This window comes from Homo sapiens, chromosome 9 (genome assembly GCF_000001405.40).
Source record: "Homo sapiens chromosome 9, GRCh38.p14 Primary Assembly".
Lineage (NCBI taxonomy): Eukaryota > Metazoa > Chordata > Mammalia > Primates > Hominidae > Homo > Homo sapiens.
In genome coordinates this window covers 100,426,427-100,452,216 of record NC_000009.12, presented here as the reverse complement: position 1 = coordinate 100,452,216, position 25,790 = coordinate 100,426,427, and the positions used below count along the sequence as shown (strand labels likewise).

The 25,790-nt window shown below is 44.1% G+C and overlaps 2 protein-coding genes across 5 annotated transcripts in view, besides 3 other annotated features; both read right to left on the bottom strand.

The window, feature by feature from the left end:
• Nucleotides 1-10,311, bottom strand: part of MSANTD3-TMEFF1 (MSANTD3-TMEFF1 readthrough) — a 135,731-nt gene extending 125,420 nt beyond the window's left edge. Inside the window, exon 1 of the mRNA NM_001198812.1 lies at nt 9,861-10,311. Within this exon, the coding sequence (NP_001185741.1) occupies nt 9,861-10,278 (418 nt within the window). The 5' untranslated portion in view covers nt 10,279-10,311. The remainder of the gene's footprint in view (nt 1-9,860) is intronic.
• Nucleotides 483-25,074, bottom strand: MSANTD3 (Myb/SANT DNA binding domain containing 3). Of its 4 annotated transcripts, NM_001198807.2 has the most exons (4): nt 24,824-25,074; nt 9,861-10,311; nt 6,980-7,048; nt 483-1,660 (listed from the first exon to the last, which is right to left on the bottom strand). In NM_001198807.2, the coding sequence occupies exons 2-3, from the start codon at nt 10,276-10,278 to the stop codon at nt 6,987-6,989; spliced, it is 480 nt and encodes a 159-aa protein (NP_001185736.1). In that variant the 5' UTR covers nt 10,279-10,311; nt 24,824-25,074; the 3' UTR covers nt 483-1,660; nt 6,980-6,986. The 4 variants fall into 4 exon arrangements, with proteins under 4 accessions (NP_001185736.1, NP_542386.1, NP_001185734.1 ...); NM_080655.3 differs by lacking the exon at nt 6,980-7,048; NM_001198805.2 differs by lacking the exons at nt 6,980-7,048; nt 24,824-25,074 and adding an exon at nt 24,647-24,788.
• Nucleotides 24,578-24,697: a silencer, noted in NCBI's record as "silent region_20137". NCBI's record gives its function as "represses an Ori minimal core promoter by ATAC-STARR-seq in GM12878 lymphoblastoid cells {active_cell/tissue: GM12878}" and the evidence as "EXISTENCE:reporter gene assay evidence [ECO:0000049][PMID:35858748]".
• Nucleotides 24,738-24,967: a silencer, noted in NCBI's record as "silent region_20136". NCBI's record gives its function as "represses an Ori minimal core promoter by ATAC-STARR-seq in GM12878 lymphoblastoid cells {active_cell/tissue: GM12878}" and the evidence as "EXISTENCE:reporter gene assay evidence [ECO:0000049][PMID:35858748]".
• Nucleotides 25,008-25,237: a silencer, noted in NCBI's record as "silent region_20135". NCBI's record gives its function as "represses an Ori minimal core promoter by ATAC-STARR-seq in GM12878 lymphoblastoid cells {active_cell/tissue: GM12878}" and the evidence as "EXISTENCE:reporter gene assay evidence [ECO:0000049][PMID:35858748]".

Below are 25,790 nucleotides of genomic sequence, written 5' to 3'. Positions count from 1 at the left end.
CCAAGGCCTATACCACTTATGTGGACTCTGCCACATATACTCCTCCTTCCCCACCACATGGCCTTGAACTCTCACTGTCAGAAACTGCTGATCTGCCTTGGCACTTAAGTGTCACTTTGCTGCTTCCAGCTACTGCTGTCCCCAACACCCGGGGCTGTTTTTAACAAGAGGCTACAGGAGAAGCTATACTGCAGCTCAGTCAAAATATCCATTTATCAATCCATATTTCCGAATATGTTGGTAATGGATCCTCAAAAGGCCCAATGCTAATTATGTAATGCCAGCTACAAAGCATTACTACTGGCTAGCACCATGAGCATGGTGAGGGAAGGGCCTTTCCTTTGGTAGCTAAAGACTAAAAGCAAGGGCAACTATCAACTCAGTAGTACAAAGCTGGGAGGAAACTAGAGAGAGAAGAGAAAAACTGGAGCACAGCTGGGAAGGCAGCACCTTTAAAAAACATACACAGTGTGACTATAAAATTGCAAGTCTTTTTTTTTTTTTTAATAAAACCAACATAACAGAATGTAGAAATCTAAACGAACATTTCTTCCTCAAAGTAGTTACATCCTTAGCTCCAACAAAACTACTATTGTTGGAGACTTATTTAGAACTCCTGTTTGAGGAAAGGCCTTAAAAGGTGGTTTATGAGCCACATTAGAAAATACCCTTCTAAACTTTGGGCTGTTTAAAAACAGAAAATCCATACTCAGAGGATGACACCGAGAAAATTAAAAAGGTGCTGCAGCTCTCACGGAGGTTCCCTAAAGACCTCTAGCAAGTTCTGAGCAACAGCATCACCATTGGAGAAACGTGTAGCCTCCCAGGACAGCCACTTTCCATGGGACGGCATTCATTTGGATAGAAAAGTTCTGCTGTCTGTTTAAAAAGAAAAAAGAAAAAAAAAAAAATCAGCCACACTCCTTTATAGTCACACTTGCATTTGATTAAAAAAAAAAACAACAACAACAACACTCACACGTGGTTCTTGTATGAATTCTAATTAAGAGACATTATATTCAGAATTATAGCACTCATAGTGATAATTTTCAGAAGACTATAACAGCTTCTTTGCCACTTAAGGGGTACAGAGGGTGCAGCTGTTTACCTGAATGAATTCTTAAATAAGTGACTACTACCACTCTAATTTTCCTAGTTGTAGCTCTGTTACAGGTTACTGACCGCCAAGTCCATGTTCCAGACATTCTTTGCCAACACAGATTAATTACAAGAGAGCCACCCCCAAAGTCTTAGGGCGAATTGGGAAAGGGCCGGTTAAATGAGGAAACAGGCCATTCCTTGGTAAAAGTTTGTAGTTTTCTTTCCCAATACATCTTCTTTTTATTGAGAACTTCCATTTTTATCCTGTGTTCCTCCTCTGCCATCTCACACTCTCGCTCTATCTGCTGGATTTTGGCCACATGCACCTCATTCATTTGTATCAGTTGCAGTTGTAAGATGGACATTTGTTGATGGTGTTCTTCCTCATGCATCTTTTTTAAAGCACCTTCCTGAGAGGTTTTGCTCCTGTAGTTTTTATTGGCTGTTATTCTGACAGCTGAACACGAGGGTTCAGGTTGAGAGGTCCCCTCACATACTGGAAAATGTATGAACTCTTTCTCATCATCGCACAGTTCTCTATTTGAAACAGCAAATGATTCTGAAAAACAGTAGCAGAAAACATATGTTCAAAGATTTTACAGGCAGAGAAAAAAAAAAACCAATCCTATTTCAAATGACAGGGTCCTTCATTACAGGATGTATCTAAAATCATGTCTGCTTTGGTCTTCATGTCTACAGGGACCCTAGCCACACCTGACTTTTTAAAAACCCACAAATCAAAAGCAATTTTTTCTTAAGAAATAATGATAAGGGGTTTTGTTAGGTTATTTCTAGAACTTCAAAGTATGGGATCCGTGGTCAGAAACCATTTTTATCAAGAATCAGAGACCTTTTTATGTTGATATTCTAAACTGAAATATGCCCAACTCTGATGAGCGTAGGACCACAATGCAAGGCCAGTGTGGATCTTCAAATTAAGTTCTCTATCAGTCTGATCATGCTTTGCCAACTTCTCATTCAGCTATGAACACGTATATGTAATCTTTGCAAGAGTGCTATTGCTGTTTCCTGGTCACAGGTGTTAGCCCTTACCCTGGAGAGCCATCTTGTAAATGCTGTTCCTTGAAAGATGAGTCTACATTCCCTGGCTTAACTCCCTCACATACGTTTTCTCTTTACTCTCCAGCACTGCCATTTGGGGAGTTTTCAATGTCCCTCTTATTTAACCTGTCCCTGGTACTTGACTATCCTTGAAATTTCTTTCCTCCATTAGCTTCTGAACCATGACTCTCCTAATTTCTAAGCTGCCTTCCCCTCTGATTGCTCCTTCTCAAGTCTTCTTGATTTACAGAGACTCTTGCTCTACTCACCTGTTACCTTTTCATATTCTCCTGGGGATTCCCATCTGTGGCTCTGTTCTTATCTGCCCTAAGTAAACTCATAACCTGATTCTGACCTTCCTTTCTTTCTTGTCTGACTCTTCCAAATGCCCTGTTCACCCTTCAGTCCTACCACAAGCTACTCACATCCTTTATAAGGTCATGCTTTTTTTCATAATTCTGTTTCACTGTTCCCTCTGCTTAAAGTTAGGCTATCTGTCCCTCCACTTACTGTAGTCTCGCTTTTTTAACCTCACCCCAACTCCTACTCATTCAAAACCAATGCCGCTTGCTCTGTGAAACCTCAGGTCTCTCCTTTATATGTACTCTTCTGTTACAGCACTTAACACACACTAGTATTGTTTTGGCACCATGACATTCTCTTTTTTTAATCCTTGGGCACTAATTACTTTGTTTGGTACACAATGGATGCCTAGTAAATGTTTATTGGCTGAACCCTTGAATATAAAGGGAAGAGTATATGGATGCAAAAGGATACCACGTTTGGTAGGTGCTATGTTTGCCCTGCTTTTTTTATTAGAGCAGTAACATCAGTGTCAATTAGGGAGTTGCAATAAGGAAACCACTAACTCCACTAACCCATGGAGTCTTGTAGCTGTGACTCTAAGGCTTTCTTGAGAAGCTTTACATTTCCAATAACGAGCATCTTCTCCTTGGAGAAAAACAATGCCAATTTATTAACATAGTTGATTACATTATTACGTCCACTCCGTTATTCTGGAAGATGAGATGCTGGGAATGTTCATGGGTACTGGGGGAAACCTAACTCATAATACCCTGTTAATAAAAGGAAAATGGCTACTGTTTAATTATTCCACTCCAAGAGGTAAAGTAACAATCATAACTAGTCCCTAATTACGATTAAAGAAAAGGTAAAAATCTTACTTCTGGAAGAGAAGTTTAAAAAAAAAGAAAAAGTACTTCGGTGCCATCCAGAAATAATGAAAATGTCTCTTGGAAATCTTTCCTGGAGACAGCTCTGGCCTCAAAGACAGCTCTTCCTTCATGCTCCCACTGCCTCCTGGGCCTACCTCTGGCAGAACACTTGTTAAAACTGGCAGTTTACCTCCCTTTCAAGTCTCTAAGTACTCTGAAGACAGAGATTGCTTCTGCTCATCCTCATGGAGAACCCAGCACAGGGCCTGGTATAGTGCTGGGCATGTAAGAAATGTGTATGGGGTGAATTACGTGCAGTGGGTCACATCCCTCCCAACACGCCCAACCATGGAGAAGGAACAGTGCTCTGTGTGGGTAACCAAGGCACAGGACAAAGGAATGGGAGAGGGTTAACACTGAGAACAGGGCCCTCAGGTGTGAGTTTCAACTGCAAAGAGCATTACCTCACCTGTTTCCTTTCTAGTTTTGGATCTGAAAATGTCTTCTTTGAAGACTGGACACATTAGACATTTTGTGGTACTTCTAGTCTCTTTTCTCTTTGATTTCATTCCAGGGGATAGTTCTGGATACTCCTCTGAGTCCTTAAAGTTCATCCCCTCACAATGCTGCTGTCTCGCCCAATTTCTTTAATTTCTTCTTCTTCTTTTTTTTTTTTTTTTTTTTTTTTGAGATGGGGTCTCATTCTGTCACCCAGGCTGGAGGGCAGTGGCGTGATCTCAGCTCACTGCCATCTCTGGCTCCCAGATTCAAGTGACCCTCCCACTTCAGCCTCCAACTAGCTGGGACTACAGGCATACACCACCAAGCCTGATTAATTTTTTGTATTTTTGGTAGAGACGGGGTTTCACCATGTTGCCCAGGCTGGTCTCAAACTCCTGAGTTCAAGCAATCGGCCCGCCTTGGCCTCCCAGAATACTGGGATTACAGGCATGAGCCACTGCACCGGCCTCTTCCAATTTCTAAAGGCTCACTTTCATCTCAACAATTCCAGGCTTTAGAGACCTGATGATGATATGGTGATGACAATGATGATGATAGCACCTACTGTTTTTTGAGCAGCTAACTAGGTCCTAGGCTAGTGCTTTATAGCATTACCTCATCTAATCCTTACCCTATGAGGGAGGTATTATTATAGAAAACCAAATACAATATCCAAGGTCACATGACTAGTTGAAAGAACCAGGATTCTAAGTCTGTATGACTCCAAAATCCAAACTCAACCACTACAATAATCAGCCTCCCACTCTTCCACTTGCTCAGCTGATCACTTGCATATCTTAAAATGTAGCCTCCAAATTGTATCCACTAAAAAACCATCTCTTATTAAGAATATGGGCGTGTATCCTGCATTTTGATCTCTAAATTTCTAGAGCTGTGAACATAAAAAGACAGTATGTTTGTGTCCGGGAGCAGAAAAATGACTCTTCTTTAAAACTACTCTTTTTAGTTTAAATGTGTGCTAACATCCAAATTTTAAAGGAAAAAAAAAGCCAGGCCTCTTAAGAAGACTCTGGCAGAAAACAGGGCTTTAAACTAGAGAGGCTCAATGGTATAGTTAATTAACTTTCACACACATATTAGCTCCAATGAATAGAAACTACTGTTCAGATGGGAAGAATCTTGTCTTAATTGGAAAAAGACTAGCCTAGGAATGGCACTGTGCTGCAAATACACACCATGTAATCTCTCTCAGAGGTAAAAACAAAGCCACCTGAAGGAGAAAACAACTCAATCTTATGCAAAAAGGGTAGGAAATCCCAACAGCTTTCCTGGGACCAGGAAAGCCAAGGGGCTTTTCTTTCACTTGGACAACTGGAGTAAGTTTAATATCAGCAGGAAAAGCCTACTATGACAGCAAAAGGATGGGAAGGAAACTGTAAACAGGCCAAACCCCAGATACAGGAAATAGGGCTGACTGGGAAAGGGGATAAATAAGATGTGTGGATGCATGCTATGGAGTATATATAACACATTAAAAGAAAGAAACTAGACTTACACACTGCAGTGGGAATTGATCTTTTTTTTTTTTTTTAGACGAAGTCTGGCTCTGTCACCCAGTCTGGAGTGCAGTGGTGCAATATTGGCTCACTGCAATCTCCGCCTCCAGGGTTCAAGCAATTCTCCCGTCTCAGCCTCCCAAGTAGCTGGGATTACAGGTGTGCGCCACCAGGCCCAGCTAATTTTTGTAGTTTTAGTAAAGATAGGAGTTTTGCCATGTTGGCCAGGATGGTCTTGAACTCCTGACCTCAGGTGATCGGTCTGCCTTGGCCTCCCAAAGTGCTAGGATTACAGGTGTGAACCACTGTGCCCGGCCTAGGAATTGATCTTAAAAACAGTATTCTAAGTGAAAAAAGAGAGAAAATGGTATCCCTAGCACAAATTTAAATCTACATAAATTTAAAATAGATGCACACAAAACACATGTAAAAGGATATGCAAGCGCGTTAGAATGATTCAGATGCAGGAGAAGAGAATGAAAGAATGGAATAAAAATAGAACAAACACGTAACTAACAAAAGAAAGGCTTTTCACAGACCAGTGAGGCTGGGGTGCCATGACTGGAAGTGTAACTCAGCCCTCTGGTACCAGAGATCTCACCCCCAAAGATTAGGATTGAACAGTAATAATAATGGCATTTATTAAGAAATGTTCACAGTTATCAAGTATCACTTTAGAGCATAGAATGTGAAATTAAATATAAATTATCCTAAGACATCTAGGTGCTACACTAAAGCTTAGTTTTCTTAAATGTATTTGACCTTTGGTCATCCTAGCCTCCCAGCCACTCCTAGCGAATTTTATTGGCTCCCTTAGTTGGTTCTGTACACAGTTGCCCTCAAAATAATGGAAGATAAGTGTCAAAGCCAAATTATCACACATCATAAAATCTGCAGGGTGTAAATTGTTTTAATATATTTAAGGAGGAAATACTGGGGTTTTTTGGCAAATATCAATATATTCCTAAGTGTTATACTTAAATTTTAAGACTAGTGTGTTCGAATGCAGATGGACATTTTCAGAAAGTTGTTGACAAAGCTAAGTATATCCAAGGGACAGTGATCAAGATGACACAGTTGAAACTATCTCATACCAAAAAGTAGTTGCAGGGAGGCCTCTAGTGGAATACTATTAGAGTCCATCCTGTTTAACAGTTTTATCATAAATTCCAATAAATTTCTGAGTACCTAATTCTGTAACAGGTACCCTGTAAGGTGTTGGAACAGTATTGTCCAACAGAAATACAATATAAGCTATTTATATAATTTTAAATATCCTCAGAGCAACATTAGAAAAATAAAAAAAGGTGAAATTTTATTTTGGTAATATATTTTTTAATCCAACATATCTAAAATATTATTGTTTCAACATGTAACAATATAAAAATTATTTAATGAGTTTTTTTACATTTTTAGGTACTAAGTCTTCAAAATGTGGTGTGCACAATTATAGCACATCCTAATGTGGTCTACCCACATTTCAAGTGCCTATGAGCCTCATGTGGCTTGTGACAACTGTATTAGACAGCACAGTGTTAGAAATAGAAAGATCACACACACACATTCCTTATGTCAAATACACAAGATGTAATGAGGGCCATAACTCTATAGCAGATTTTCCACCTTTTTCCTACCAAGTCCCAGAAAGGATGATTGACAATTCCAGGCTTCTTTTTCTTTCTTGAAAGAAAACTGAAATGCAAAATGAGTGAAATGAACTCAAAGTTGTTTTACTGTATAGAAAGAGTACCAGTACCCTACCTACTAGTATTAACAGATTACCTTTGGACACACTTCCCAAATGACAAAGCACCAAGGTTCTCCACCACCCTCCAGATGGGACCTGGACACAGGAGCAAGGAGCATTTGGCTATGCTTTAATAATCACCAGCAAAAAGGGAAGTCCCCAGTGTCATCTATGTACAAACATCCAATTTAAAATAAATCCGTTTATACTTGAGTCACTATTAAATGTTACTATAAGAAAAACACTGAGAATGTACCTTTATTCCCTTCTTGCTGAAAATTTATAAATTACGTTTATGAGTAAATGAATTACATCATTTCTTCCAAAGAGAAAGAGAAAAAACTCTGTGGGATGAACTTCCCTAGATCCCACCCCAGAATTTGAAAATGGGGAAACAAGACTGTCCAGGCCCCCTAAGAATAACCCTATGTATTCAATACACAATAATCTAGATCACAGGTTTGCAAAATGAACAGAAGGCAGCTCACACCAGCATGGTCCTCAGCAATATCTCCCAGGGAACATAAGCAATGTAAAGAGCAGCCCTGCTGATCCATTCCTTCCCTCCCCCAGCACACTCCTCCACAACCTCACAGAAGCTGAATGGCTCTGAAGCCAGCAAGATGGAGAGGAACAGAGTAACTGGCTAAAGCTATAAACATCTCCAAAACAAGGACACCATTAATTAGCTGTGGGGGCCCATGCACTACAGAAGCAGCAATGAGGAGTGATAAGAGAGAGAGCTGACAGAGCCCCCATAAACTGTCTGCTAGGAGGTACCCTGGCTTGGGAACTCAGGGATCAAAACTCAGACACAACATTCCCACACTGGAAATCGATGTATGAGGTTCCCACACTGGAAATCGATGCATGAGGTTCATAACATAAACCACTATGGTTACGCAACTGGCTTCCTGGACTTAACCTTGGTCAAATGATCAGTAAGCAAACTTTTGATCATAATTTGCTTCTCCAGGATCGTCTGCCTACAGGACAGAAAAAAAGGTGCTAATCAAAAACATGTATTTGATTCACTTGGCAATTATCTTTTCCACTCTACACAGACAACATTCCTGGCTTTAGACTGCTTCTTGTTACTTTTAATTAACAGGAGCCAGTCCCTCAGAGCTCAGTCTACTCTGGAGGCACTGACAATTGAATTTCCCATTCTGCAAGCTGAGAACCAGATTTTCCTGGGGAAGTGCTTGCTGGGTCCTTGAAGCACCTTATGAACAACCCTCTGTCCCCCACCAGGAAACATCCTCTGCTTCAATGTCTGTCTTCTGCAAACTGCAATTAATTTTTATATAAACTGGCCACTTCCTGTCTGAAAAGAAGCAGGAATTTCTGGAAATTTATCTATGTGCATTTCCACCCTCCCCTTGCCTAGAGACATTTCAATAGCCCCTAAATTCCAACCTTTTGAAGCTATGACACACTATCATTGCATCCTTCATTATATGACAGTGTTTTTTTCCCCAAGAATTATGTATGACATATTTTTCTCTTTTTAATGGAAGTATATTAAACTTAAAGTTAATTTCTTTTGGAGCTTTTCAAGATCCCTGGGGTGCCACAAACCAAAACTGTGGATCACAATAGTATAATGGCAAAAAATGCTGGTTTTTAATCTGGGTGAATGCTAAAACAGGCGTTTATCATATTATTCTTTGCACTTTTTTTAAAGTTTGAAATAGTTCTTTTTTTTTTTTTTGAGATGGAGTTTTGCTCTTGTTGCCTACGCTGGCGTGCAGTGGTGCTATCTTGGCTCACCACAACCTCTGCCTCCCGAATTCAAGCGATTCTCCTGCCTCAGCCTCCCAAGTAGCTGGGATTACAGGCATGCACCACCACGCCCGGCTAATTTTGTATTTTTAGTAGAGACGGGGTTTCTCCATGTTGGTCAGGCTGGTCTCAAACTCCCAACCTCGGGTGATCCGCCCACCTCAGCCTCCCAAAGTGCTGGGATTACAGGCATGAGCCACAGAACCCAGCCGGTTGACTCTTTTAATATGGCCTTTTGAGTGGCCTACTGCAATGCTTTGCAAATAATAAGGACCTCCAAAAATATTTTTTGAAAAAAGTGAAATTGAGTGGATGAATACAAATCTTCATACAATTCTCTTTAACATATTTGAGACAGGCTGATAGGCAACTGCAGCACCTCACTAATAAGAACTCCATTAATCCAGTCCCTTATTTTTCTTTATGTTTAAGTAATAATAAAGTCTCCAAGAGAGCTAGCACAATGATGTAAACAAGTACTTTTGTTTTTATATATTACTTTTTTTTTTTTTTTTTTTTTGAGACAGGGTCTCACTCCGTCACCCAGGCTGGAGTGCAGTGGCGCAATAACAGCTCACTGCAGCTTCCACCTCCTGGGCTCAAGTTATCCTCCAGCCTCAGCCTCCCGAGTAGCTGGAACTACAGGTGCATGCTACCATGCCCAGCTAATTTTTTCTATTTTTTGTAGAAACAGGGGTCTCACTTTGTTGCCCAGGGTGGTCTCAAATTCCTGAGCTCAAGCCATCCTCCCGCCTCAGCATCCCAAAGTGCTGGGATTACAGGCACGAGCCACCACGCCCACTTCTATAAGACTTTGAATGTCCTATATAATCCTGAGATCTTGAATTAGGAAAATTGGATTTGATACAAAAGTTTCATTTTTAGAAGTTCCCTCAAAGTGGAGGGTTTTAAAATTAAAATGTCAAACAGATACCCAGTGAGAGCGTGCACACTGGCATCAGGAACGGATACCTTGGGCTGAGGCGTCGGGGTGGTATTCGGGCTCCTCCTCCGGGGGGCTCTGCAGGAAGTAGAGCTGCTCCGGCAGCATGCTGGCGATCTTCTCCTTCCCTAGGACGTGGGTACTCAGGAGAGGGCTGACGCTCCGTTTCACTTTCTCTCTCCTTTCATGGGCCATAATTTTTTTGGTCCGAGCCTTGATGTTCTCCCAGCACTTCTTCAGCTGTTTGAAATCCCGCAGGGACACGCTGGGCTGAGAGTTGTATTCGTGGGCCAGCGCCTGCCAGGTACGCTGCTTAAGGGCAATAGTTCGCGCATCACTTTTCTTACATTCCAGCACATATTTATACTTTTCTACTAAAGCCAGCAGGATGCTCTTTTCCAATTCTGAGAAGTATTTGGCAGGCTTTATAATTTCGTTGTTTTGCATTTTCCACTGTATTTCTCCTGGCCGCTAGCTATCCTGTAAAAGGAAGTTTGAAGCAATGATTACCAACTCCAGCAAAAACAATGCCTATAAATCACTGAAGCTTAATTCCTGACTTGATTCCCTTGTCTGAAATACAGTACTTTCTTTTCCATTAAGGTTGAATTATGATATTCAGGACTCTGGAGAATATTTAGAAATGTACTAGGAATGGGGTTTTATTTCAAAGTGGATTGTTGTGGCTATACTGTGACTATCTGGTATATAACAGCAAAAAAAGAAAAGTTGAACATTTTTTTTTTGAAACGGAGTCTCGCTCTTGTCACCCAGGCTGGAGTGCAGTGGCACGACCTGAGCTCACTGCAACCTCCACCTCCCGGGTTCAGGCAATTCTCCTGCCTCAGCCTCCTGAGTAGCTGGGATTACAGGTGCCTGTCACCACGCCCGGCTAATTTTTTTTTTGTAGTTTTGGTAGAGACAGGGTTTCACCATGTTGGGCAGGCTGGTCTCGAACTACTGACCTCAAGTGATCTGCCTGCCTCGGCCTCCCAAAGTGCTGGGATTACAGGCGTGAGCCACCACGCCCGGCCTAGACTCTGATTTGTTAATTGATTTTTCTTTAATATTAGGGAACTGATTATTCCCCCAAATCATGTTAGCCAGTTTTAGAACTAAACAGCTTTCCAAAACTTTTGTCACAGCTGAGGACAAAAGAAGCCACCGTGTACTCAAATATAAAATATGATGTGGGAGGCTGAGGCAGGCGGACCACGAGGTCAGGAGTTCCAGACCAGCCTGACCAGCATGGTGAAACCCCATCTCTACTAAAAATACAAAAATTAGCTGGGCGTGGTGGCGTGCGCCTGTAATCCCAGCTAGTCAGGAGGCTGAGGCAGGAGAACTACTTGAACCCGGGAGGTGGAGGTTGCAGTGAGCCAAGATCGTGCCACTGCAATCCAGCCTGGGTGACAGAGTGAGACTCCATCTCAAAAAAAAAAAAAAAAAAAAAAGATGTACAGCCGGGCACAGTGGCTCACACCTGTAATCCCAGCACTTTGGGAGGCTGAGGTAGGTAAATTGCTTGAGCCCAGGAGTTCGAGACTAGCATGGGCAACAAGGCAAAACCCTGTCTCTAAAAAAAAAAAAAAAAAAAAAAAAAAAGGGAAGAAAAAGAAGAAAAAAAAATAGCCAGGTGTGGTGGCATGCACCTGTAATCCCAGCTACTTGGGAGGCTGAGGTAGGAGGACTGCTTGAGCCCAGGAGGTCGAGGCTACAGTGAGCCATGTTTGCACCACCGCACTCCAGCCTGGATGACAAAGGAGACACTGTCTCAAAAAAAAAAAAAAAAAAATTTGACGTTTTCATCACTCTGTGGCATGTACCTGGAGCAATGGCAACCTCAGTTTTTTCATCTTTAAAATGAGGGGTTGGAGTCTGTGATCCTTCAGGTATGCGGGCTGTTTTTTAAAATCCTAAGTAAACAATGTATGTAATTTCAGATGTGAAAGGGCCTAGGCACTTAAGAGACTGAGTCCAGTGTCCCTCTTTACATTCCTCAAGTCTCTTTCCAGCTGAGAGAAGAAAGGGTCAGAAAGGTGAAGTGGATTGCACAAGATCACAAAGATGGTGACATAGAAAGTCCAGAGCTTGGACTGCCCTAGGAGTCTGGTATTCTTAGAATCATTCCACAGCTGTTTCTCGGCCTCTTGCCTTGGGTCACTCCAAATGATTCAACCATGATTCCCATAAGTCACTTTGTCATCCTCTACAGTGCCGGGTCAGCATGTTTCACACAACAGGTGCTTAGTGAATGTCTTCTTCCAGTGAAGTGTATGAAACCTATGTGTGTTTTAGGACTGCACGCTATTCCCATATCTTTCAATCACAGAAAGCTTCCTATAAAATTAACCTCTCAAATATGTTACGGCAAAAATGTAGCTAAGCAACACTGACTGCGGCAATAAAGTAAGCATTATCGTTCCCCTAGTTGGGAAGGGCCTACGTATTCCCAGTCCTTCTTACATTCTCCAAGCCTCTGATTTCTCAGAGTAACAGGCATGCATCAAGATACTGATGAGGCAGTCCATTTAAAACTGACCAATCATGTCAAAAAATTAGGAACTGGGCAGGCGTAATGGCTCACACCTGTAATCCCAGGACTTTGGGAGGCTGAGGCGGGCGGATCACGAGGTCAGGAGATGGAGACCATCCTGGCTAACACAGTGAAACCCCGTCTCTACTAAAATTACAAAAAAAAAAAAAAAATTAGCTGGGAGTGGTGGCAGACGCCTGTAGTCCCAGCTATTCGGGAGGCTGAGGCAGGAGAATTGCTTGACCCCGGGGGGCGGAGCTTGCAGTGAGCTGAGATCGCGCCACTGCACTCCAGCCTGGATGACAGAGCAAGACTCTGTCTCGAAAAAAAAATTAAAAAAAAAAAAATTAGGAACCAACTTGAAAAGAGCCCCACAAGCCAAAAATGGAATAATTTGAAATCAAAGGTCATATGTACACAAGGATTCATTATTTTCTCAACCTTTGTTATGTTTTAAAATTCCATAATAAAAAATTAAGCAGGGGAGGCTGTGACTTTTAAGTTTACAGTACACTAATTTTGAATCACACTATTTCAAGCCGGCTACTCACGCACTATGCCTGGGAAGGGGTTTCTGTAGTTGTGAATGGCTGAAATCTGTTTGACTGAGGCTGGAGAGGACTGGGCCAGATCAGAGACCCTTCAAATTGACGCCAAGGAGTGTGGTCTTTACATGAGGGTGACAGAACCTGATCACGGTCTCTCACTACGCACTGCCTCATCCTAAAAGTTGTTATTAATAGAATGAAGTACGAGGGTAATCCGTATCTCCAAATACCAGGTACCCTGCTCTACATTCATACTGGACACATCAGGTATCAGACACTGGGAGGTTCGGACACATGTCAAAGGTGGTTTGGCCCTCAGATCCTGAGCAAAGCTAAATGAGCGGACATTTATCTTTGGGGATGTGTCCCTATAATGCTAAATTCCCATGCTTCTGTTTTGATCATGTTGCTCTAATATCCATACAATGATACCCAATCCAGGCTCCTTCTTCCTCAAAGGTCCCAAATTAATTTTTTACCTTCACCCATACTTTTATTCCCTATGAATCAATGTTCCCCAAACTGAAATTTATTAACATACACCCTGTACAATATCTCTCTTCTGTATTATCTCTATCTGCCAAGATGTCTATGTCCAGCTTAACTTTCTGTAGTTTTTGTTAGGAAATCAATAGGTACACTGCCTGTTCTTAAATTACACAGCTTACACAGCAGATTCTGATCCAATTCCCTAACCTCAATGTCTCTGCTCCAGATGTCAATATGCCAACTTTCCCCACTTCTAAGAATTGCTGCTGTAAGGATTAAGAACTCTGATTCACAAATGAAAAAAGGATTACTCCCCATTTTGTTGTTATATGTAATGCTCTTTTACATATACATTATATGTGTGTGTACACACACACACACACACTTTCTAAATAAATCTCTTTTTTCTATTTTAGTTCTTCAAGATAAATTCCTAGGACTTCTCCACCAAAAGATAAAAACACTTAAGACTTATGTTATATCCCCAACTTGTCCTTGTAAAATGTTGCACCAATTACATTTCTATTAACAGCACATGAGCATGTCCATCTCCCTATTTTGTTTTTTTATTCTGTGCCAACTGTGGAAGTAAAAAATGTCACTTCATTGATTAATGATATATGAATTTCAGCTCTGAGGTAAGTAAGCCACACTCTGAACAAAGGTCCTGTGATCCTTGGTGGGACTGAAATTACATGGAATTAATTCCAAGCAATGTAATTCTTCCTCAAGATGTGTGCAGTACCTCTAGCTGCCACTAGGTGGTGGTGGACTTGTGGGGAGTCTAAATTTCACAAAGGTTCTTGCCCTACATGTGGCCAGTTGAGTCTCAGAGTAATAATAATGATAGCAATAATATAATAGCAGATAACTTGTATTGAGCCCTTACTGTAGGCGTAACAAATGTTTAATATGCACAATATCATTTAACCCTCCCAAAAATAGCCTCTGAGAGCACAGTTTGTTATACTTCAATGTTTTCTGTTAAAAATACATATACATATGCATGTATATATAAATTTACATATATAAAGTACCAGAAGAAATTATACGACTGCTCTTAAAAGCAAATGCTCAGAATTACCAACACCTGGGGACCATTAATAGCCTATTAACTAAACTGTTATTTAATCACTAGCTAAGTAAATCCAAAGTTACCAATTTACTTTGCTTAATTTTGTAGAACAGCAGGCCTCACTGGGCCTTGCGGTTGCATTCTGCCTGGCTATAAAGGGATTCTGATACAAGGCAATGTACCCCAAAGGTTCCTTATGGATTTTCAACAGCCTTGTGAAATAGGCTGTTTATCTCCCTTAACCAATTACCATTCCCATTTCCCAGATAAGAAAACTGTGGCTCAGTAACTTACTCTGGTCACAAAATAGTAAGTGGTCTGACTTACTCCAATGCTCATGCTCCTCTCTGCTCTGCTTAGCTCTCTTGTTTCAGACCTAGTGATAGCCTCTATTCCCCTCCTCAAAGTATGGGCATTAACACTCTAATCATCAGCCGGGAAAGGGCCCAGGGTAGGGCAATTTAGGTGGAGTGTGTCTCCATCTGTTGGCTCTTCCCCCACTCATTTCCCTCCCTCCATCACCTCCTCTCGATTTCAAACTTAGGGCCCATAATCCTCCCACGTGTACCTTCCTCACTCTAACCAGAGCTCTGAAATAATTTCCGCCCTTGATCCAGTAAGACTGTATGTTTGGGCCAGGCATGGTGGTTCACACCTGTAATCCCAGCACTTTGGGAGGCCGAGGCAGGTGGATCACCTGAGGTCAGGAGTTCAAGACCAGCCTGGCCAATAAGGCGAAACCCCATCTCTACTAAAAATAAAAAAATTAGCCAGGCGTGGTAGCAGGTGCCTGTAATCCCAGCTACTCAGGAGGCTGAGGCAGGAGAATCATTTGAACCTGGGAGGCGGAGGTTGCAGTGAGCCAAAGTCGAGCCATTGCACTCCAGCCTGGGCAACAGAGTGAGACTCTGTCTCAAAAAGACTGTATGTTTGAAAGGTAACTGTGGAGATCTTTTGGAGCTTTAACATGGTCCATGCCTCCGGGGAATGCTGGCATTCCGCTTGAGCACAAAAACAAATACTTCCCAAAGAGGTCTCTCCAGCAAAGCTTATTAATGCTTATTAATAGAAACTTTGAGGCTAGAAAGGATACTCTTGTTTAAAACTATTCATCAATTGTCCATAATTGTTTATAAATGACAACATAAAAAGCGTTCCCTGCCGCATCAACTTTTATTAGGGATAGACTGGACTTCCCTGTCCCCAATTCTGCTCAGGAGCCATTATCTCTTGTGTCTGCTGTTCTGCTAGACAGTATATGATCCATTCTTATGCATGGTTGTAGGGCAACAAGCAGCCCAGTGACCCTCACAAAGTAGGCGCTCAGTAAACATTTCATAAATGCAGATATTTTGATATAGGCATAAAACAGCCCACCATGCACACAGCATCATACATGACAAAACAGTACACTAAAGGCTGCATTAGCTGGGTATGGTGGTGTGCCTGTAGTCCCAGCTCCTTGGGAGGCTGAGGCAGGGTGATCACTTGGGCCAAGGAGTTAGAGGCTACAGTGAGCTATGATTGTGCCTGTGAACAGTCACCCCACTTCAGCCTGGACAACACAGTGAGACCCCATCTCTTAATGAAAAAAAGCTGCATTAAAGTAGAAATGGTCAAATAAAATAGCAAAATCCAGATGCAACAGAAGTTCCCCTTGGGCTAGGCAAAGACCCATAGATAGGCCTAAATTAAAAGGCACAATTCCAACACCCATAGAAGAACAAGAAGGAAACAATTAGCACAATTTCCAAAACACTAACATTGACTAAACCACCAGAATACTGTAATGCATACATTTACTATCCAACTTAAAACAAAAATTCATCTGTTTATGGACTAAATGTCTGTGTCCTCCCAAGATCCATATGTTGAAGCCCTAATTCCCTAGTGGTTGTATTTGGGGACTGGGCATCTGAGGAAGCAATTAAGGTTAAATAAGGACATAAGTATGGGGCCCTGGTCCAGTGGGGTTAGTGCCTTGATAAGTAGAGACACCAGGAAGCTGGCGTGCCCTGCTACCCTCAATGGCTTACAAAGAGGAGGTCATGTAAGAACACAGCAAGATGGCACACAGCAAGATGGCCACCACCTACAAGCCAACAGAAGAGATCTCAGGATGAAATCTAACTTGCCAACACCTTGATCTTGGCCTTCTCAGCCTCTAGAACTGCAAGAATCCAATTTCTGTTGTTTCAACCACACAATCTGTGGTATTTTATTATGGTAGCCTGAGAAGACTAATATACCATCTAGTGATTTTTAAGTCCACCAAGGGTGAAACTAAGTCCTAAAGTTTGAGCAAAGACAGAGAAACTTGTCAAGATTTCACATCTCTTGCTCTTTGTGGAAAGGGGAGTTCTTTGAAGTTAATACTCAGAATGGGTACCATGACTGAAGAGCTATGGCACTGGAAAATCAGACTTCAGGACATTAATAGACTGCTGATCTTAAAGTGAGGTGAAATGAACCAAGACACTGGATGCAGAAAACCCGGGCTCAAATCCTGACTTTACCCCTCACCCAACCGTGTGACTTTGGGCAAGTCAATCAACCTCTAATGCTTCATCTGTGAAATGGAGTTACTCCCCCGCTATCCCGGCCCTGCCTCATTCCCTCTGCGCAAAAGTCCTGCAACGTGAATAAAGAAACACAGACTACAGCTTCAATCAATTTTAGTTCTTTCTACTCTTCCCACCCATATTAAACTGCTTCCAAAAGTAGAATAATACTGTGTGTGTGCGCACGTGTGTGTGTGTGTGTGTGTATGGTGTGTGTGTATATATAACAAGTTATTGGCTCTTTATTTCATACACACACAATTCAACAAATATGTAATGAACTCCTGCCAAAGGCTCAGCACTGTTCTAGAGTATGTGGGAGATACAAGGACAGGCTGAACCCTCCAGCCTAGAAAGAGCGCTGACATGCACAAACTGACAACTAAAATGAGAGGCACGCTGAAACAGACACCAGAAGAGAGGACAAAGCACCTTGAGCATGAAGAAGAGGGAAGAGGTTCACTTGCATTCTTCATGAACAAGAGGACATTTGAGCTAGATCTTTAAGAATGTATAGGATATGAATGGAGAGAGTTGAAGAAGATCATCAGATAAATAATTGATAAGAGAAGGCCTGGACTCTGAGTGGGGACAATGTTATTGGAAAGGAGGAAGTATACACCAAAGACTGTTTCTTTCTTTTTTGAGAGACAGAGTCTAGCTCTGTCGCCCAGGCTGGAGTAGAGTGGCGTGATCTCGGCTCACTGCAACCTCCGCCTCCTGGGTTCAAACAATACTCCTGCTTCAGCTTCCCAAGTAGCTAGGATTACAGGCACCCATCACCACACTCAGCTGATTTTTGTACTTTTAGAAAAGATGGGGTTTCACTCTATGTTGGCCAGGCTGATCTCAAACTCCTGACCTCAGGTGATCAGCCTGCCTCAGCCTCCCAGTGTTGGGATTAGGATTACAGGTGTGAGCCACCACACCCAGCCAAAGACTGTTTCAAAGGAAGAAATGAGCAGGATGTATATGTGTCCACAGTAGGGTAGGGGATCAACAGAAAGCAGAGGCAGGTAGGATATATGAGGATTAACCAAACACCTACTTTGTGCAGGCATCAGAGAGAATGGTATTCCTTAAGATCAAGGAGATCACAGACCTATGAGGACATCAGAGTCCCATGAAGACATAATGCACATGTATTGTGGGATAGGCTGGTGACGAGACAGTGTGATAAGCACAGTGACAGAGATGAGCCTAGGGACATACTCCAAAACTGGGGGGATCTAGAACAGGAACCTTAACTCCTACTTGAATAGACTGAAATTAGATTAGCTTGAGGACAAAGCAGGGCCACAACTCGGGAGGTAAAGACTTAACATATTCAGAAGTGGTGGGTGAACTGAAGGACACGTGGCAGCCCTCCCTACAAGCAAGGCCTGGAAAGTAATGGGCAATCCGTTTGCTCTAAAGAAAGGCTGTCTCCTACCCTAGTATCTTGCCTGTCTCCTGACTCAACATCTCAAAAATAACCTTTGTTTTAAACTACAAAGGACCTTGGCCAGGTGTGGTGATCACCATCTGTAATCACAGAACTTTGGGCCTAAGGCAGGAGGATTGCTTGAGCCCAGGGGTTCAAGACCAGCCTAGGCAACAATGGGAGAACTCCATTGCTATAAAAATTAAAATTAAAAGTACTAGCCAGGCAAGGTGGCATGTGCCTATAGCCCCAGCTACTAGGGTGGCTAAGACAGGAGAATCCCTTGAGCCCAGGAGGTTGAGGTTGCAGTGAGATATGATCATGCCACTGCATGCCAGCCAGGGTGACAGAGCAAGACCCTGTCTCCAAGAAAAAAAAGGTAGTATAATATAGAGGTTAAGGACATGGGCTTGGACCCATGGCCTCAAAGCCCAACCCTACCACTGCTTCTGAGAGTGGAGCTTTAGAAAAAGAAAAAATATAAATAAATTTAAAGAAGGACCTCAATCTAATCCTCTTACTTTACAGTTGAGGAAACTGAGGCTCAGAGCAAAACAGGGCTTCCCAAGGCCCTAGTAACAGAGAAGAGTCTGAAATCAAGGCTTCATCATTTGCTTTCCAACCCCTCTCCCACTTCAGAACCCCCTCACCATCAAGATGCCCTTTTTGCTAGGTACTCTCAAGCCTCCCCGACTGTACCATTTGAAAACTCCAGGGCACTGCTCTCAACTCTGTCATTCATTTTGTGACATTTGTCTTGGCACGTCTTCTTTACTTGCTGTCAATTCCTCGTCTCTAAATTATAAAGCTCAAGGGGGTATTCTCTAAAGTCCTATCCAGTACTGGTCATCCATGTTAGCACTGCCATTAAAATGGTTTTTCTGCAATCTAATTTCCACAGTTCACTGCCAAAGACACATAGTTGGTATTTTCTGATTATTTATGAGACTGGTGGAGCTACTGGCCAATGAAAGAGAGCATTACAGCAGAATGAAGTGATCTCAGCACTTTAGATGACCTTGTTATTTTGCTTAAGGCCTTTAAACAGGTTTAACTGTGCAAGTTAAGCAGTTCCAGGTGAAATGGCAAAAGCAGGTGATCTGATCTGTTCACTATGGCTCCTTGAAGAGTGCCTGGTGTACATCAAGCACTCAATAAATATTTGTGGAATTACCTGCCATAACCAACCTGCTTGCCATTTGCATTTTTTAACTGATTATTGCTAGATGTTTTATTATTTTAAATTTCTCCTCTTACAAAGGATTTATCATAATATAATCGTTTCCTTCTTGCAAACATCATTACAGTTCAAAGAAGGTAGAAATGGCAATGTTTTAAGAGCCTCACAACCACTATGATGCCTTCAGGATTTCATTTTATCCAGAGGTGAGAGTAATTGGACAGTACTCTTACCTGCCTGCACATGTACATACCTGTGTGCCCAGGATGGCCACTCACCCAAGCTCTCTCTGCCTCTCTACCTTCTTTCTTTCCTTTTCGAGAGCTTTCCAGTCAAGCCTAGCACCGAACTTGCTTTCTCTAATGCATTCCCTCTCTACCACTTTTCCACCCACTCCAGGCAGCCATGTAACTTGGAAGTGTTTATTTTCATCATCTGCGCCTGAGTGTGACTGTGTGCATGCAGAACCAGCCTTGTGTTGAAAGCCAGGTCTCCCCCACTTTCCCATCCTCACAGTCCCCTCTATAAACCAGATGAGAGTTCTTAAAGTCCTAACCCCGTCCTTCCCCTTCCCCACACTCCATCTTAAACCATCCCCACCCACGGCTTCCCTGAAATGCCTTTGGAATCATTATTAAGGTATCTTCCACAGAAAGCAGTGTTGAAAAACAGAAGGTCCCCTTCTGTAGGTGTTCCCACTCCAGCCTCCTTCTCGTCTACTGAATACACTCTCCTCCACTCCCACCACCTCAGCTACAACCATCGGCTCTCAAATCTTCTCTAGGACAAGGGTACCAAGTATTTACCTCTTGCAGCACTCAGAATTACTCTGCACTGAGATCTATCCATATCCTGAAGGCTCTCCCTATCTGACGGTGAGCTCCGAGGCATGGAACTACATTTTATATCTATCTTCAGCACATAGTAGATTCACAGTAAGTGTTTGTTTTAAAAAAAAAGTTGGGAGTGGGGACGCAGGCACAGTGGCTCACACCTGTAATCCCAGCACTTTGGAAGGCAGTGGGGGAGTACTGCTTGATGCCAGAAGTTTGAGACCAGCCTGGGCAACACAGTGATACTCCATCTCTAAAAATAAAAATTAAAAAATTAGCCAGGCATGAGCATCTGTAATCCCAGCTACTTGGGAGGCTGAAGTGGGAGGACCACCTGAGCCCAGGAATCTGAGGTTGCAGTGAACAATGATTGCACCACTGCACTCCAACCTAGGTGAAAGAGTAAAACGCTGTCTCTTTAAAAAAAAAAAAAAAAAAAGGCTAGGCATGGTGGCTCACGCCTGTAATCCCAGCACTTTGGGAGGCCGAGGTGGGAGGAGCACCTGAGGTCGGGAGTTCGAGACCAGCCTGACCAACATGGAAAAACCCCGTCTCTACTAAAAATACAAAATTAGCCAGGTATCATGGTGCATGCCTGTAATCCCAGCTATTCAGGAGGCTGAGGCAGGAGAATTGCTTGAACCCGGGAGGTGGAAGTTGCGGTGAGCCGAGATTGCGCCGTTGCACTCCAGCCTGGGCAACAAGAGCAAAACTCCATCTCAAAAACAAAAAAAAAAAGAAAAAAAGAAAAAGAATAAAGTGGCAGTGATGGAAGAACCTCTCTTCCAAGCCTCAACCTCTCTCCTTAGCATCAAACACATTTCCAATTATCTATCAGCCACCTCTGTGCCCCACTATGGGTACCTCAGAAAACTCCAACTCTCCATAGCCAAAACCAAACTAATTATTCCCCATACACCAAAATCTCCTGATTTCTGATGATGTCAGCCACATCAACTTGGCTTCCCAAAGCAGAAATGTAATCTTCAATCACATGCAACTAATTAACAAGACCTATGGTACATTTTACCCAAACATCTGTTCCCTCCTCTCCCATTCTCACTGCCCATGTCTGTGGACAGAGCTAATCTCTAAAATGGTCTCCCAAACTTCCATACCCTCTTCCACACAACTACAGGGATCTTCCTAAAACACAGTGATCAAGCCACAGGCCTCCTTGTAAACCTCAGACGTCTCTCCCACTGCCTAAACGATAAAAGTCCCAACTCTTCACATGGCATTCATGGCCTTTCCGGATCTGGTCCTGATTATAGCACCCCCACCAGCCCCTCATTCTCTCCATGTATTTTCAACCTAACCAGACCAAACTCAACACGCGGCTTCCTTTGGCTGGAATCCTTTACCCCAAGGCCACCAAGGGCCCATTTTCAATCTCTCTTTTTTTTTTTTTTTTTTGACACAGAGTCTCACTCCCAAAGTGCTGGCATTACAAGCGTGAGCCACCGCGCCCGGCCCATTTTCAATCTTCAAAGCCCAACTCTCATGCAATTTTTGTTAAGCCTTCCTCAATTAATACCCAGTCTGTTATGTTTATTTTCTTTATAACGGCTTCCTTCTAAAATGGGTTTGAAGCAGCTTACAAATTACACACACACTGCAACTAGATTTTTTTTTTTTTTTTTTTGAGAGAGAGAGGAGAGACTAGCAGGGCAAAGATAAGACAAAGGTAAAAGAGATCAAAGTTAGGTGGTAAAGGAGCATTCAAAACCTGTGTCATAGCTGGGCACGGTGGCTCACGCCTATAATCCCAATACCTTGGGAGGCCAAGGTGGGCAGATCACCTGAGGTCAGGAGTTTGAGACCAGCCTGGCCAACATGGTGAAACCCCACCTCTACTAAAACTACAAAAATTAGCTGGGCGTGGTGGTAGGTGCCTGTAATCTCAGCTACTTGGGAGGCTGAGACAAGAGAATCGCTTGAACCCAAGAGGTGGAGACTGCAGTGAGCCGAGATCATGCCACTGCACTCCAGCCTGGGCAACAGAGCGAGACTGTCCCCCCCCAAAAAAAAAACAAAAACAAAAAACAAAAACCTGTGTCATAAGGTCTCATACTCACCTTGTTAGATATAGATTGGCCCTGAGTTCCCACTGGCTCAGAATGAGTTACTCTTCTATGAGCTCACTGACAGTTGTACATGACTGTACTGTAGCACTTCCCATATTTTTTGCAATTTGCTCTTTGCGTCCATCTCCCACACTGGACTGGGAAATTCCTAGGGGAATACATAATTTCTGACTCATCGCTGTATCCCCAGGATGTAACATATGACTCAGCACATGACTGGTGCTCAGCAGACATTTGTTGAATGAATGTTATCACGGACAGGGAATACGGTACTAGTGCTTGTTGAACTGCACGCCAGATATGTGAAAAAACATTATTTTATCCTCACAAAAAATGTACAAAGCTAAGAAATGGCAGAGCTAGGATTCAAACCCCAAACTGTCTATCTCTCCAAAGCAATTGCTCTTCCAAGTATGCATGATGTTCCCTACCTTCACCATCGCTACGTACCCACCTACTCTCTGCTTCAATGCCTGGTTAAAAACAAAATAAACCACCCTTCTCCCAGACGTCTTTCCTACTCACTCAGGACAGGAGTGCCTGAGTCCAGCCCTTGATCTTCCACAATACGTTAACAAATCATCACCAACTGGGAGAGGAAAGGGTGCCCCCTTGGTAGCTGAGAACTGAACAGCCTGTTGGGTATTCTGCAGATGGTGGGGTGAAGTCCTCAGCTCCTTCTTCTCCTGCCTTTCCCCACAGGTGCAGTGCCTGGGCCCTTCCTGCCTCTCTTCCTTCTTCAGGATCCAAAGCCTTTTTAGTTCTCCCCATTCTAAACCCAAAATAATCTCCTCAGGCCCATTACTTCTCTAACCCAGTGAATGGTGTTGAAAATGCACTCTTCCATTATATCAGTGAGACCTTTGTATTTTAAGCATCTCATCAACCATTAGGGCTGGCAAGCATCCCCATGCCCTGAAACACAAGAATTTTGTGAGAAGGGATAATGGCATTTTAGGAGGCCCAATCACCTGACCCTCCATCAATCTGAATATTTTTGGCGGCCTGGGAGTAAAAAGAGACAACCTATAACATCCCTCCCCACCCCCTGCCCCAGCAGCCTTTGTCCCCTAGCCCGGGTCTCTACGGGAGGGATGAAATCTGGCCCAGCAATGCTGCAGGGGAGGGATGGTGAACCCTGGTGCCTTCCTCTACATCTTCCTCCAGGACTTCAGAATCCTTCTTCTCCCCCTTGTCCATCCCATGTCTCTCTCTGGCCCTGGACTCCCACAGCCATCCTCAATCCTAACTCAGAAACTATGTTTTTTAATTAATATTCAGCAATTTCCTTGGAATACAATCATCTGCTCTGACATGCTGAAAGGCACACTCTCTGGCCCTGATATTATCCTACCTCCAGTTTTAAATGTATGACAAATATATCCCTGCATCCTATAACTACTCTCCTCGATACTGCAGGAACGTCTGTAATGTTAAATGTTATCACGCCTAAGAAATACCCAACCTCCTGAATCGGAATAGGGAGACTAAATTCTTCACTGTTTCGTACTCCTAAATAAAGATTATTCATGCAATTTACAGTAACTACCTCACAGCGCCAGGGTGATGATTCAATGATAATTCATGCCAACTGTTTAGTACCTAGGGCCTGGTACATACAGAGTGCTCAAAATTTAGCTGTTATCATTTACATACATTATCTTTCACAATAGTACCTGAGGGTAGATATTATACCACGCCCCCCCGACCCCCGCCTCTAATTTACAGAAACAGTAGCCCCGGCTCGGAGTAAAGGAGCTTTCCCAAGGTCAGTCAAGCAAGGATGTGATGCTCGGCCTTCATCCTGCAAGTGAGGGATCCCTCCCGTTACACTCTGGACGGGCGGGGCACTGGAGGTCTTAAAGGAGACAAGTATGGAAAAGCGCCGAGCACAGTGATCAGCACACAGTGGGGACGCCGGGATGGGAAGACCGCGGTACTGCAGGTCACCTGGATTCCCCCCGAGCAGCTCCCCGAGCCCGGGAGTCCAAAGCCCACCCCGCTCCCAGCCGTGGGCGCGCCACTGAGTACCCCAGAGGCCCGCGCCCCGGGGCTTTGTAGGCAGCAGGCCGGCCCTACTCACCGAGTCCCATCGCGGCGCGCAGAGGCGGCCGCCCGGCGCCCAGCCTGCAAGGCCGGGGTCGCAGCGGCTCGGCCCGAAAACCCTCCATGCCGGCCCCCGGCCCCCTCTACGCCCGGCCCGCGCCCCCCACCCCCGCCCCCGCCCGGCTGCGGCCCGCCCGGAAGGGGAGCCTCCTACCTGCAGCGGCGGCGCGGCAGCCGCGGCGACCGGGGGAGGGGCCGGCGAGGCGCGAGGGCGGGCGGCCTGGGCTCCTCTCGCAAGCAGGGCGGCCGGGAGGGCCGCGGGCTCCCGAACGCCGGGCGGCGGCGGCGGCGGCGGCGCGCCCCCGGCCGGCCAGGCCCCGCCGCGCGCGCCGCGGCCACAAAGCCCGGACGCCGCCGCCCCCTCGCGGACCGCCCGCCGCCTGCCGGTCCGTCGGCGCCGCCGAGGAGGGCGGGAGCGCGGCCCCGCGCCAGTCCCCACTTCCCCGAGCTGCGGCCGCCGGCCTCCAGGGGACTGGGGCGGGGCGCGGGGTGCCCCCCCGCCCACCTGCCCGTCCGCACCGACCCCGCTCCTGACATCCTCGGGCTGACGTCCTCGTGCTGATTTAGTTGCCTTTTTTCCCCACCTTTGCAGAGGAGCTCCTGAAGCGGCCCGAAAAACTGTTTTATTTCTATGAACAACAAAAGAATACATTTGTCACACGGGATTTGGCGGCCATGAACACGAGTTAGTTCAGTCCAGGTCCCCCGACTGAAATAGGCCCTTTTCTTTTAGGACTCCTTGATACTTGGGACAGCGAATCCCCCTATGCTGAGTTTATCAGAACTTCTGTTAATTTGTGGAACGTGCCTCCCCCAGGAGAGCGACTGTGCTCACTGGAGCCCAGGACCTGTCTCGGACACTGTGCTGACTCATTTGGAATTAATGCGTGTGTAAATGCATGCACAACAGCTCAAACTGTCGGGACAAGCCACCCTTTGCTCCTCCCGCAAACAGAGTGGCTGGATGTTTCTTTTGCCCTGGATCCATTGGGAAGACTCCAACCCCAGAGAAAGGCAGAGAAGGCTTTTTAACTTTTTTTTTTTTTGAGGTGAAATTCGCATAACATAAACCACTTAAAAGCGAACGATTTGGTGGCATTTATTACATTCATAATGTTGAG

Excerpts from the sequence above, each read along its gene's own strand:
- MSANTD3 (NM_080655.3), bottom strand. The coding sequence starts at position 10,278 with ATGCAAAACAACGAAATTATAAAGCCTGCCAAATACTTCTCAGAATTG. Across the intron at positions 1,661-9,860 it reads CCCCGACGCCTCAGCCCAAG|AATCATTTGCTGTTTCAAAT; the intron begins GTATCCGTTCCT and ends ACTGTTTTTCAG.